The 15,332-nt window shown below is 35.2% G+C and overlaps 1 long non-coding RNA gene across 1 annotated transcript; it reads left to right on the top strand.

Moving 5' to 3' along the window:
* The first annotated feature begins 7,292 nt into the window (after positions 1 to 7,292).
* LOC105369688 (uncharacterized) lies at positions 7,293 to 15,131 on the top strand. Its single transcript, XR_931419.3, has 3 exons — positions 7,293 to 7,357; positions 8,082 to 8,131; positions 15,085 to 15,131. It is a non-coding gene; the product is annotated as an uncharacterized LOC105369688 (long non-coding RNA).
* The last annotated feature ends 201 nt before the right edge of the window (positions 15,132 to 15,332 follow it).

Genomic DNA, 15,332 nt, shown 5'->3' with positions numbered 1-15,332 from the left:
GCAGCCTCTGCTGGTGATACCCAGGCAAACAGGGTCTGGAGTGGACTTCCAGCAAACTCCAGCAGACCTGCAGAAGAGGGGCCTGACTATTAGAGGGAAAACTAACAAACAGAAAGCAATAGCATCAACATCAACAAAAAGTATACCCACACAAAAACCCCATCTGAAGGTCACCAACATCAACGAACAAAGGTAAATAAATCCATGAAGATGAAGAAAAACCAGTGCAAAAAGGCTGAAGATTCCAAAAACCAGAATGCCTCTTCTCCTCCAAAGGATCACAACTCCTTGCCAGCAAGGGAACAAAAGTGAATGGAGAATGAGTTTGACAAATTGAAATAAGTAGGCTTCAGAAGGTGGGTAATAACAAACTCCTCCAAGCTAAAAAAGCAGGTTCTAACCCAATGCAAGGAAGCTAAGAACATTGATAAAAGGTTACAGGAACTGCTAACTAGAATAACCAGCTTAGAGAAGAACATAAATGGCCTGATGGAGCTGAAAAACACAACACGAGAACTTTGTGAAGCATACACAAGTATCAGTAGCTGAACCGATCAAAGGCAACAAAGGATATCAGAGATTGAAGATCAACTTAATGAAATAAAGCATGAAGACAAGATTAGAGAAAAAAGAATGAAAAAGAACAAACAAAGCCTCCAAGAAATATGGGACTGTGTGAAAAGACCAAACCTACATTTGATTGGTGTACCTGAAAGTGTTGGGGAGAATGGAACCAAGTTGGAAAACACACTTCAGGATATTATCCAGGAGAATTTCCCCAACCTAGCAAGACAGGCCAAAATTCAAATTCAGGAAATACAGAGAACACCACAAAGATACTCCTCAAGAACAGCAACCCCAAGATGCATAATCATCAGATTCACAAAGGTTGAAATGAAGGAGAAAAATGTTAAGGGCTGCCAGAGTAACAGGTTGGGTTACCCACAAACGGAAGCCCATTCAGACTAACAGCAGATCTCTCAGCAGAAATCCTACAAGCCAGAAGAGAGTGAGGGCCAATATTCAACATTCTTAAAGAAAAGAATTTTCAACCCAGAATTTTATATCCAGCCAAACTAAGCTTCATAAGCAAAGGAGAAATAAAATCCGTTACAGACAACCAAAGGCTGAAGGATTTTGTCACCACTAGGCCTGCCTTACAAGAGCTCCTGAAGGAAGCACTAAATATGGAAAAGAAAAACTTGTACCAGCCACTGCAAAAACATACCAAAATGTAAAGACCATTGACATGATGAAGAAACTGCACCACTAGCATCATAGTGACAGGATCAAATTCACACATAACAATATTACCTTAAATGTAAATGAGCTAAATGCCCCAATTAAAAGACACAGACTGGCAAATTGCATAGAGTCAAGACCCATTCATAAGCTATATTCAGGAGACCCATCTCACTTGCAAAAACACACATAGGCTCAAAATAAAGGGATGTAGGACTACTTACCAAGGAAATGGAAAGCAAAAAAAAAGCAGGAGTTGCAATCCCAGTATCTGATAAAACAGACTTCAAACCCACAAAGATCAAAAAAGACAAAGAAAGTCATTACATAATGATAAAGGGATCGATGCAACAAGAAGGGCTAACTATCCTAAATATACATGCACCCAATACAGGAGCACCCAGATTCATACAGCAAGTTCTTACAGACTTACAAACAGACTTACACTCCCACACAATAATAGTGGGAGTTTTTAACACCCCATTGTCAATATTAGATCAACAAGACAGAAAATTAACAAGGATATTCAGAACTTGAACTCAGCTCTGGACCAAGTGGATCTAATGGACATCTATGGAACTTTCCACCCCCAATCAACAGAGTATACATTCTTTTCAGCACCACATAGCACTTAGTCTAAAATTGGCCACATAATTGGAAGTAAAACACTCCTCAACAAATGCAAAAGAATGGAAATAATAACAAACAGTCTCTCAGACCACAGCACAATCAAATTAGAACTCAAGATTGAGAAACTCACTCAAAACTGAACAACTACATGGAAACTGAACAACCTGCTCCTGAATGACTACTGGGTAAATAAAGAAATTAAGGCAGAAATAAATAAGTTCTTTGGAACCAATGAGACCAAAGACTCAACGTACCAGAATCTCTGGGACACAGTTAAAGCAGTGTTTAGATGGAAATTTATAGCACTAAATGCACATAGGAGAAAGTGAGAAAGATCTAAAATCCACACCCTAACATCACAATTAAAAGAACAAGAGAAGCAAAAGCAAAGAAATTCAAAAGCTAGCAGAAGGCAAGATCAGAGCAGAACTAAGATCAGAGCAGAATTGAAGGAGATAGAAACTCAAAAAACCTTCAACAAAAAATCAATGTATCCAGGAGCTGGTTTCTTGAAAAGATTAACAAAATAGATAGACTGCTAGCCAGACTAATAAAGAAGAAAAGAGAGAAGAATCAAATAGACATAATAAAAAATGATAAAGGGGATATAACCACTGATCCCACAGAAATATAAACTACCATCAGAGAATACTATAAACACCTCTATGCAAATAAACTAGAAAATCTAGAAGAAATAGATAAATTACTGGGCACACACACCCTCCCAATACTAAACCAGAAAGAAGTTGAATCCCTGAATAGGCCAATATCAAGTTCTGAAATTGAGGCAGCAATTAATAGCCTATTAACCAAAAAAAAGCACATGACTAGATGGATTCACAGCCGAATTCTATGAGAAGTACAAATAGGAGCTGGTACCCTTACTTCTGAAACTATTCCAAACAATACAAAAAGAGGAGCTCCTCCCTAACACAATTTATGAGGCCAACATCATCCTGATACCAAAACCTGACAGAGACAGAACAACAAATAAATTCAGGTCAATATCCCTGATGAACATCGATGCAAAAATTCTCAATAAAATACTGGCAAATCGAATCCGGCAGCACATCCAAAAATATATCCACCACAATCAAGTCGGCATCATCCCTAGGATGCAAGCCTGGTTCAACATATGTAAATCACTAAACATAATCCATCACATAAACAGGACCAATGACAAAAACTACTTAATTATCTCAATAGATGCAGAAAAGGCCTTTGATAAAATTCAACCCCACTTTATGCTAAAAACACTCAATAAACTGGGTATTGATGGAATGTATCTCAAAATAATAAGAGCTATTTATGACAAACCCACAGCCAGTATCATATTGAATGGGCAAAAACTGGAAGCATTCCCTTTGAAAACTGGCACAAGACAAGAATGCCCTCTCTCACCTCTCCCATTCAACATAGTATTGGAAGTTCTGGTCAGGGCAATCAGGCAAGAGAAGAAATAAAGGGTATTCAAATAGGAAGAGAGGAAGTCAAATTGTCTCTGATTGCAGATAACATGTTTGTATATTTAGAAAACCCCAAAAACTCCTTAAGCTGATAGGCAACTTCAGCAAAATCTCAGGATACAAAATCAATGGGCAAAAATCACAAGCATTCCTATACACCAATAACAGACAAACAGAGAGCCAAATCATGAGTGAACTCCCATTCACAATTGCTACAAAGAGAATAAAATACCTAGGAATACAACTTACAAGGATGTGAAGAACCTCTTCAAGGAGAACTACAAACCACTGCTCAAGGAAATATGAGGGGACACAAACAAATGGAAAAACATTCCATGCTTATGGATAGGAGAACCAATATTCTGAAAATGGCCATACTGCCCAAAGTAATTTATAGAGTCAATGCTATTCCCATCAAGCTACCATTGACTTTCTTCACAGAATTAGAAAAAACTACTTTAAATTTCATATGGAACCAAAAATAAGCCTGTATAGCCAAGACAATTCTAAGCAAAAAGAACAAAGCTGGAGGCATTAAGCTACCTGACTTCAAACTATACTACAAAGTTACAGTAACCAAAACAGCATCGTACTGGTACCAAAACAGAGATATAGACCAATGGAACAGAATAGAGGCCTCAGGAATAATGCCACACATCTACAACTATCTGATCTTTGACAAACCTGACAAAAAAAGCAATGGGGAAAGGATTCCCTATTTAATAAATGGTGTTGGGAAAACTGGCTGGCCATATGCAGAAAACTGAAACTGGATCCCTTCCTTACACCTTATACAAAAATTAACTCAAGATGGATTAAAGACTTAAACGTTAGATCTAAAACCATGAAAACCCTAGAAGAAAACCTAGGCAATACCATTTAGGACATAGGCATGGGCAAAGACTTCATGACTAACACACCAAAAGCAATGGCAACAAAAGCCAAAATTGACAAATGGGATCTAACTAAACTAAAGAGCTTCTGCACAGCAAAAAAACTATCATCAGAGTGAACAGGCAACCTACAGAATGGGAGAAAATTTTTGCAATCTATCCACCTGAACAAAGGGCTACTACCCAGAATCTACAAAGAACTTCAACAAATTTACAAGAAAAAAAAAACCCACCAAAAAGTGGGCAAAGAATATGAACAGACATTTCTCAAAAGAAGACATTTATGTGGCCAAAAAAACATATGAAAAAAAGCTCATCACTGGTCATTAGAGAAATGCAAATCAAAACCACAATGAGATACCATCTTACACCAGTTAGAATGGAGATCATTAAAATGTCAGGAAACCACAGACGCTGCGGAGGAAGTGGAGATATAGGAACGCTTTTACACTGTTGGTGGGAATGTAAATTAGTTCAACCACTGTGGAAGACAGTGTGGCAATTCCTCAAGGATCTAGAACCAGAAATACCATTTGACAGGAATCCCATTACTGGGTATATACCCAAAGGATTATACATCATTCTACTATAAAGACACATGCACACATATGTTTATTGCAGCACTATTCACAATAGCAAGACTTGGAGCCCAGACCAAAGCTGACTGAGAGAACGAGCCTGTCTGTAAACCTCATAGGTGACAAAGACCATGTGCAGTAAGATGGAGAAGTATCTGAGTATCTGACCCCACAATGCATACATATAAGTTCCACTCTGACAAAGGGGGCACAATTTTCAGTTTTACTTTCTTATTAATTTTACTGAGACTAGCAATTTATAAGATGGATGGACTATGCTAAATAGTGATATTATTAGAGAACTCTTCCTTTTAAAGTATTTTAAATCTTATTATGCATAAAATACTTTGGGTAGAGATGCTACATTTGGCTTCCAAAGGATACTTTGCAAAACAAAGGCAATAATAATAAAAGTCAACTTATTTTATGCATTTTCCCATGCTGCTGTACTTAGAAAAGGTATATTTCAAGTTCTGTTCAGAAAACTATTTGTGCTTAGTATTTTAGTCATTAAATGATCTGGGTTGTATAGAAGAACATACCTATACCACGGATATTTTCCTTTTTCTAGACATGAGTAATAATTGAACAGGCTATAAAGCTCATTAGAATCAGCTTCTGATAAATTTATTCACCCTTTAGAGAAATTTTTATGAAACTAACTGCTTGATTTTACCCACTGTTAAGCATAGATTGCAAACAAGAAGTTTCCTTATTTGAAATATTAAAACAAACAAAGAGCATATAAGAATACTAGTTAAGGTATAAGAAGACCTGTACTGTAGACTTGGTTCTATTACTCAATACTATGTGACCTTAGTAAGTAAGTTTTTCTCCAAAAACCTTAATTTTCTCATTAATAAAATGAGAATTTTTAAAAAGTGATTTCTAAAGACCCCTCCATTGATAAAAGTTTTGGTATCAAGGATTACAAATGTAATGCTGATTGTAAAAGAGCATAAACTGACACCTCTAAAACTAGACAATTTACTTAGAAAAAGTTAATTATCCTGTTTGTAGTTCTAACAAGGTGGAGTTACTTTAAGATGACAACAAATGATGACAGCATTCATCAAGGTATAGCTCCTTCTGAATGGGGCTGATATTATGGTAAAAAGAACTAGAAAATTCTTACCCATGTTAGAAATTCATTAACGTGCCTGATTCTTGACAGAGCATGCAGAATTATTGCTCCCAGCTCAATTTCTTCTTCATCATCAATTGGTCACAAGGGACTCCCTTGGAGTCATAGGTGCAGACTGAATGAGACTCTGGCAGTGAGGCACAAGTACACCCACTGAGGTTTCAACAATTTGCTTGACATCAAGACCAGGTCTTTGAGATGCCACTTCTAACTGTTTGTCACCCTTTAGTGGGTTTTGAAATAAATTTAGTAAGTTTTAACCAGAATTTGAAAGTTTAATAGAATAAAAGTAGAATAAAAATGTTCACACTGCATGGCACACAGTAAAAGTATGTTTTGTTTTGCAAAACATCTTTTTAAATGTATGCAAGTGGCCAGGCATAGTGGTTCCCGCCTGTAACACCAGCATTTTGGAAGGCTGAGGCAGGCGGATCACTTGAGGTCAGGATTTCGAGACCAGCCTAGTCAATATGGTGAAACCCCATCTTCACTAAAACTACAAAAAAAAAAAAAAATAGCCGAGCATGGTGGTGGGCACCTGTGATCCCGCAACTTGGAGGGCTGAGGTGGGAGAATTGCTTGAACCCGGGAGGAGGAGTTGCAACGAGCCGAGACTGTGCCATTGAACTCCAGCCTGGGCGATAGAGCAAGGTTTCATCTCAAAAAATTAAATAAATAAATAAATAAATACATGTGTGCATATGAATATTTACGTGGGGGGATGGTAAAGAGGATAATATTTCTTATAGAGGATCTTAGTAAAAACAGTTTGAAAAACGCTTATTAATGATGAAATGATGTTAAACATGTCTAAGTTCATGATAAATACATACAAGATCTGGCAGTACATAATTGATGATGGTCAGTTTGAGTCATACACTTCCCTGATATAGTGTGTTCAAGCATTCAATTAACACCCAAGCCCAGTAGCAAGCCAGAAACTGTTTCTCAAAAAAATATAAAATATTAGCCGGGCGTGGTGGCGGGCGCCTGTAGTCCCAGCTACTCAGGAGGCTGCGGCAGGAGAATGGCGTGAACCAGGGAGGTGGAGCTTGCAGTGAGCCGAGATCGCACCACTGCACTCCAGCCTGGGCGACAGAGCAAGGCTCCGTCTGAAAAAAAAAAAAAAAAAAGTACAATCACTTGCCATAAAGACATTGCCTTTGCTTCAAAACTTCAAGGTATATTGATTCCCCTGTAGAGCTTGCTACAGTCTATGTGACATCCTGATTAGTCAGAGATTTCCAACATCATGGAACCTGCTGGGTCATAAAGACCTGGTTGTGGAGCCTATTTGTACGACAGGCTGATCAGTGCTGAGTCTTCTCTTGCTCTGGGCACCACTGAAAGCTGGCAGCTTTTTAGGCCACCTGGTACAAAGGTCAAAGCAGGACACCAAATGTGGTAAAAATTGCCTCCAATTCTAAAGTGCCTCACTGATAAAGTGTTCTCTTTCCAGCGTTTCTGTGTCCTTGTGTTTTAGCTGTGTCTTTTATAAATAGAATATAAATGGAACTTTTAAAATACATTCTAATAATTACTGTCTTCTAAAAGGCAAATGTATATGAATATTATTCTTACCATCTTATTTTATATTTTCCATTCTTTTCTTAAATCTCATTTTTATTTGTGGGTCAGTGTGGAATGAAATCTGTATTAGTCCACTCCAAATACTATTGGAATCTGGGTTTTCCAGATTCCAATTGAAATTGCCAAATTCAAATTGATCTAATGTTCTTCCCTGCTTAGTTGAGTATCCTAAAATTTTATTTTTATACATATTCCTGAGACAGTTTCTAATATATATTAAAACAGATTTGCAAACTTACTGTGACTATTCTCCTCCAGGGCATAATTTGAATTTGGCTCCCAAGGCCGTATTGCAATATAAGTGTAATCAATTTTGAAAAAATGAAAACCAGCTTCCTTTTGAAAGTAATGATCTCAGGTAAGGGAAAGATAGCTGAAGCAAGAAAAGGAAATGGCTTGTCAGGCAAAGGAGAGGCAGCAGCAGAAGGAGTAGAGGAATAGCTACTTCCTTAAGTAGGGAAAGCTCAGAAGATGGAAAGTTCCAGAGTTCTCTATTTAGTCTTCTGATTTTCTTACACATCTTCATTTCAATTCTCAGGGCTCCATTTGTTCCAGATCGATCCCCTGTTACATAAGAAATCTCTCAAGGTAAACTCCCAGACTTATTTTGAGCTCTTTTTTAGTCCTTTAGTTATGAGTTAGGAAACTTTTTCAATAAGATCGTAGCAATTCTCCTAGACATCTGTCTTCCATTTCTAGCACTATAGTGATTTAGCTGCCTGAAGTAACATAGAAAAGCAAAAAAGTTTGGAACGTATGTTAGGCATTCAGAATGTGTTAAATTCAGTGAATTTGTTTAGAATTCAATGAATGTGTTAAATAGCAGACTAGACAGAAGTAAAAATGGAATTTGTAAACAGGAAGGTAGAACTGAAGATTATGCAGAATGTACTATAAAGAATCAAAGAGATGGAAAATATGAAAGAGATGTCAGCTTTTATTGGGGTATAGTAAATTGTTCTGGTACATATCTCATTGGAGTTTCAGAATAAGAGATTACAGAATGGTACGGAGGCAATATTCAAAAACACCATGGCTGAGAATATCCAATATTAAAAGATAACAGAATCAGGTTTAAGAAACCCAGTAAATCCCAAGGAGAATATACACATTTTTTGTTGTAACATAAAATTGCAGAATGCAATTTACAAAAACAAAATAACAAAAACAAAGAGATCTTAAAAGCATCCAGAAAAAATGACAGATTATCTATAAGAGAATAAGGAGGCCGGCGTGGTGGCTCATGCCTGTAATCCCAGCACTTTGGGAAGCTGAGGCAGATGGATCACCTGAGGCCAGGAGTTTGAGACCAGCCTGGCCAACATAGTGAAAACCCGTCTCTACTAAAAATACAAAATTAGCCGGGCGTGGTGGCGCATGCCTGTAATCCCAGCTACTTGGGAGGCTGAGGCAGGGGAATTGCTTGAAGCCGGGAGGCGGAGGTTGCGGTTAGCCGAGATTGTGCCATTGCACTCCAGCCTGGGCAACAAGAGCGAAACTCCATCTAAGAAAATAAAAAAGAATAAGGATTACAACTAACCATTAAGACTACACAGTAACAAATAGGCTAAAAGACAAAGGAATCATATCTTTAAATGCCAAGAGAGAGAAAGTAATTATCACTCCAGAACTGTATTCCCAGTGAAATGTTTTTCCAAGTTTGAGAGTGATATGAAGACAATTTTATATAGACAAAAATGGAATGTTAATACTAATGTATATTGCTAAGGGAACTTCTAAAGGATGTACATTTGAACTACTGACAATCATTCATAAAGGAAGATATGAGATCTAAGGACTGGTGAACAAAAAAGGGAAATGTGAGTAAAACTTGACCAAACATCTAATATCTAATAATACCTAATTTGTGGGTTAAGCAAATAGAATAGAACTAAAATACTTAACGGGTAAAACTATGGCATAAATGGGCCAAATCACAACCACAAATAAACTTATTTTGAACAAATAAAAATAGACTAAAATTTCCAAAATAAAAAAAGGCAAAGATGGACAGGATGGATTAAAATACCCAGCTATTTTATGTCACCTAATCTAATATGCTATTGAATATGAGTTACTATTATGTCACAGCCTGCTAAAAAAAGAAAAACACTGCCCATTAAACTATGAAACTATGCTTTAGTATTAATCCTGTGTGATGAAAGTTACCTGTGACTCATTAATTAGGCACAGCAGCCTCTCTGCTTGGAATTTTTTTTTCATTTATTCTGAGGGATTTGGGATTATTTCCACCTTCAATTATTTTTATTGATGTGTGATATATAATATTTTTGCATGTATCTAAGAAACAACATATAACAGCTTTCTTGACTTACAAGTGTCTTCCTTAAATCATATCCTACTGATAAAACATTCAATGTCTCAATAAGATATAATCCAAAATCCATATGTACTCCATGACATATTGTTAAAATATATAACAGAAGAAAAAAATTGATAAATCTACCAGAATATTAGAAAATTAATATATCTTCTTCAATACTTGATAGGTCAAAACGGAAATTAATAAGGATTGATATAATGTAAAAAATACAATTATAAATTTATGTATAAACATAGAGTGGTATATTAATCAAACCTCGAAACTGCAAAATATGTTTTTCCAAGGATACACAGAACATTTGCAAAAACTGACATAGTGCTATATAATAAAGTAAGCAAAACATAATTCAAAGATTCAATATGTTAGAAAACATACTGTTTTTAAAAATGCACATAATTCAGTAACAGAAAAGATGGCTTTAGAAAGTTAGTGAGTTGAAAAATTTAAAATACACTCCTTCATAATTCATAGGTCAAAAAAATTAAGTAGAAAACATCAAGTATCAAAGAATAATAAAAATACAACCTAACTATGCCTGAGAATTATAGTATTATTATTACAGCATTTATATTAGATGAGAAGATATCCTTAAGCATTTATATTAGATGAGAATAAATCTGATAATTCATTAATTATCTAACTAACAAGGTTTATAAAATGAACCATACCTCCATAAAATTCAGAAGTATAGCATTAAAGATAAGAGCTGGAGTTAAAGAAACAGAAAAAAATATATACATAGAATCAACAAAGCCAAAAAATAGTTATTTGAAGAGATTATTGCATTGGCAAAGTGTAGAAAGACTGATCAATTTTTAAAAGATAAGGCAAGATAAGGTACAATAATATTAGTAATGAAAAGAAGATTTAACTACATATGAACCAGACATTAAAGGGATTAGAAAGAATATTATGGACAAGTTTATGCCAATAAATTTGAAAACTTGATTAAGATGAAATAACCTTAGAAAAATATGACCTACCATAACTAATTGAAGAAGAAAAATAAAACATTAATGTACAAATAACAATAAAAATTCTTCCTACAAATGAAATAATGGGCTCAGATTATTTTACAGGTGAGTTCTATCAAACACGCAAAAATAATATATTTTGAAACAATGCCTTACAAAGAAGAGAAAAAGAGACATCCCCAAGTTAATTGACGAGGGTAGTGTAATGTTGGCATGAAAATGAAGTCAGGAATAATAGACTATTAAAGACCACCTTCACTCCTGAGCATAAATGCAAAAGTCCTAAGTAGATAGCAAACCAACTTTACTAATTGTTAAGCTTTCTCTTTAAAATCAGGAATAAGTCATCAATGTGCCCTATAATCATTTCTACTTTACTATATGGGAGACCTTATCTAATATAACAAAACAACAAAAATAAAGCCTAAGAATTGGGAATGAAAAAAATTATTATTATTTGAAGATTAGATAATTAGCTCTATAAACAACCTCAATTTTCTACAGATTATTAGAATAATTAAGAGTAGAATAAGATTGCCAGATCTAAGGATAATATACTAAAGCCAACTGAATTTCTGTATATCCATAAATAATAATTACAAAATTTAATTTAAACAAGTGTATTCTTTACAATAGGAACCAAAAATACACGGTAGTCAGAAATAAATAGAAATAGAAATTTTAAAAAACAAGAAATTAAGATCTTTATAAATTGAAACATATACCATGTTTATGAATAGAAAGACTAAAAAAAAATGTCATTATCCCCAAATTGGTTAGTATATTCAATAGAATTCTGATCAAATTTCCAAAAGAGTTTTTCTTGGAATTTGACAAGCTATTTCCAAAACATATGCACAAGAACGAAGAATCTAGAATAGCTAAAATATTCATAAGGAAGAAGATGAAGGAGGAGGAAGAAGAAAGTGTCTTATTTTCTCATTATGAAAAAAAATTTAATAAAGAAAATGTAATACTGGTATATAAAAATAAACCAGTGGAACCAAGTAGAAGGCCGGCCCAGAACCAGATGTATGTGTGTATGGCTATTTGACATATATGACAGAAATAGAATTCTTGGTCAGTTAGGAAAGAATAAACTATTCACAAATAGTCTAGGGCAATTTTCTGTCTATAAAAGATAAATAAAACTTGAACCTTGCTGAACCTTGCTTCTCTCTCTTTCTTTCTCCCTCTCTCATACACACACACAGACAAACAAATTATTTCTCTATACCTTAAAACTTACTTGTGAAAAATTTAAAAAGTTTAATGGCAGCACAGGAGAACACAGAGTGGGAAAAATTTCTTAAATAATGCATGTAACACTCAAGCAATAAAGAAAAGGATTCATATATTCAAATACAGTAAAATGAAGAACTTCCAATTGAAAGACAACATAAAAAAGTAAAGATAAACTGCACATTAGTTCAGGAAACAATATTTTAAAAATACATGACTAAGAAAATCTTAAAATCTTATCTCCAGAATATGCAAAGAATTCCGATAAAGCAATATGTAAGAGCAAACAATTCATTATTAAAAAGGGAAAATATGAGAGGCATTTCACAAAAGAAGAAATAGGAGTAGGCAATATCCATAGGAAGAGATGCTTAATATTATTAATAGTTAAGAAATACAGATAAAAACAAAATAAAGTTCTCATTTCATATCCATGATATGGAGAAAAGTTTCGATGATTAATAACAAATATTGGAAAGCATATAATAGAACAAGAACATCTAGAGTACTTGTGAGAATGTAAATTGCTACAACTTGTCTGGAAAACAATTAGGCACTGCTACAATAAAGTTAAGGTTATGAGTACACTACAACTCACCAATTCTATTTCCAGGAACATATCACAGAGAACTATCTCTACATGCATATCTGGAGACACACACAAAAATGTCAATAGAGGCATGATTTGAAGTAGACAAAAACTGGAAATCATAGATGGGAGACTAGATAAAGAAATCATCTTAAATTCATATAGTTGTACATAATATTGGTTTGAGAATGAACTGGAGTATCAACATGGATTAAACTCAAAAATAATATTCAGGAAAATGTCACCGAAGTATACATAAAAGCATAATTTATTATCAGCATATAAAAGTAAAAAGGAGATAAAACCAAATAGTGTATTTTTTAGGATGCACATATGTGATAAAACCACAAAAAAGAATTAACGGAATGATGAACACAAGTTTTAAAATACTGACTCCCAAAAAGTGAAGACAGGAATGAATGGTAGTATACTTAAGTTGCAGCTCATTTTCTACTTTTTAAGCCAGGTAGAAAGCATATGCCAATTTGTTTTATTGTTCTTTCTTAAATTGTACATATATGCCAAGTCTCCTCTTATAAACATTTCATAATAAAACAGTTAAGTGTTGTCATTTTAATTTTGTATCTTGAGTAAAGAAAAAAGAATTTGAGCTTGTTTTTATCTATATGGTGTCAAAAGTAGTCAACCTCCCTGTATTCCTGGTGTTTACCAGTGTCTCGGAGTGGTAGCCCCACTGTGATCTCTGGTCTTCCCATTGTTAGCAATTGATCTGACACAATCCCTGAGAATAATATAGTATTATTATATACCACTATATTTTTTCACTACTGCATGTCAAAGACTGAAGTTCTAGAACATTATGGAACACTCACTGTCACCTCATCTTAGACTTAACAAACCCAAATTCCTCACATTTCCTGAAGTTATTTTATTTTATTTTATTTTGAGAGACTAGCTGGGGCCGGACGCGGTGGCTCACGCCTGTAATCCCAGCACTTTGGGAGGCTGAGGAGGGTGAATCACAATGTCAGCAGATCGAGACCATCCTGGCTAACACAGTGAAACCCCGTCTCTACTAAAAATACAAAAAATTAGCCGGGCGTGGTGGCGGGCACCTGTAGTCCCGCTACTCGGGAGGCTGAGGCAGGAGAATGGTGTGAACCCGGGAGGCGGAGCTTGCAGTGAGCCGAGATCGCGCCATTGCACTCCAGCCTGGGCGACAGAGCGAGACTCCGTCTCAAAACAATAAAAAAAAAAAAAAAAAAAAAGAGACTAGCTGGAGCGCAGAGGCATGATCATAGCTCACTGAAGCCTACAGCTCTTGGACTCAAGCAATCCTCCCACCTCAGCCTCTTGAATAGAACTATAGAACTTCCTCAAGTTTTATTACTTGAAACCTACTCTTAAATATTACCCTCTGCATCATTCAGGGTTCTAACTAACCTGATTTTTTTTTTACTAAAATATGCTGATGTTTATTAACCATAGCAAGATACCATCCAAAAATATTATAACTACATATTTATAAAAGATGCTATACAAACTATATTTCAGAGACCCAGAAGAAATTTTACAAATGGTATCAATTTCAAATAGGCCCTGGTAAGCTGGCAAGTGGTGTGCATTTATAGTCCCAGATATTAGGGAGGCTGAGGCCAGAGGATCACTTGAGCCCAGGAGGTGGAGACCAGCCTGGTCAAAAGAACAAGACCTCTGTCTCTGAAAAAAAAAAAAAAAAAAAAAAAAAAATAAAGGCCCTGGTATAAAAAGGGAAATTAGAAAATGAATAACTAAATAACTATAAATAAATTTCAAATAGGTCCTGGGTAAGCTAGCAAAGTGGTGTGCATTTCTAGTCCCAGATATTAGGGAGGTTGAGGCCAGACGATCACTTGAGCCAGGAGTTGGAGGTCAGCCTGGTCAAAAGAGCGAGACGTCTGTCTCTTTAAAAATAAAAAAAAAAAAAAGCCCTGGGATAAAAAGGGAAATTAGAAAATAATAAATAACTAAATAACTATAAATAAACATCTACCAAAAAGGCCCTGGTATAAAAAGGAAAATTAGAAAATAATAAATAACTAAATAACTATAAATAAACATCTACCAAAGTGAAAGACTATTAAACACGGTTTACACATTTAATAGACCTTATAGATTTCTACCCTAATGGATTTGCTGTGACAACCTAAATAGCTTGTAATCCACAATCACTGAAGCAGCAATAGCTCTTTGCAGTTATATTTTGAAAACAGGCATATCCACTATGGCTAGAAAAAAACTGTTATTTAAAAGAGTGAAAGGAAAGCCTAAGAGTAATTCATGTAAGTTAGACAAAGAATGGAACATTTTAATGCTAGTTAAAAACAGATACAGCTTCAGTTAGCAAGTGAATAAAAGGTCTTTTTTCTTTCTTTCTTATTCTTGATCACAGGAAAACTGACCTGACGAGGAGATGGAATCACTGACACCGGATGTCTCTCTTAGCAAGAGCAAGGAATATCAGAGGGACCTTTCTAATTCTGATATCTCTTGTCATGTGGTAGCTACTGGACACTGCCCGTCTCAGACAGTTCCTGATTATTGCCCTATAGCACTGGTTCCAAACGACTGTTCCTTCCCTAGGGTCAGATGCAGATACAATTACCTGGAATCAATTCAAGATAAAAGAGTCAGCTTTTG

Source organism: Homo sapiens, chromosome 12 (genome assembly GCF_000001405.40).
Source record: "Homo sapiens chromosome 12, GRCh38.p14 Primary Assembly".
Classification (NCBI taxonomy): domain Eukaryota; kingdom Metazoa; phylum Chordata; class Mammalia; order Primates; family Hominidae; genus Homo; species Homo sapiens.
This window is presented reverse-complemented; position numbering and strand designations above follow the sequence as displayed.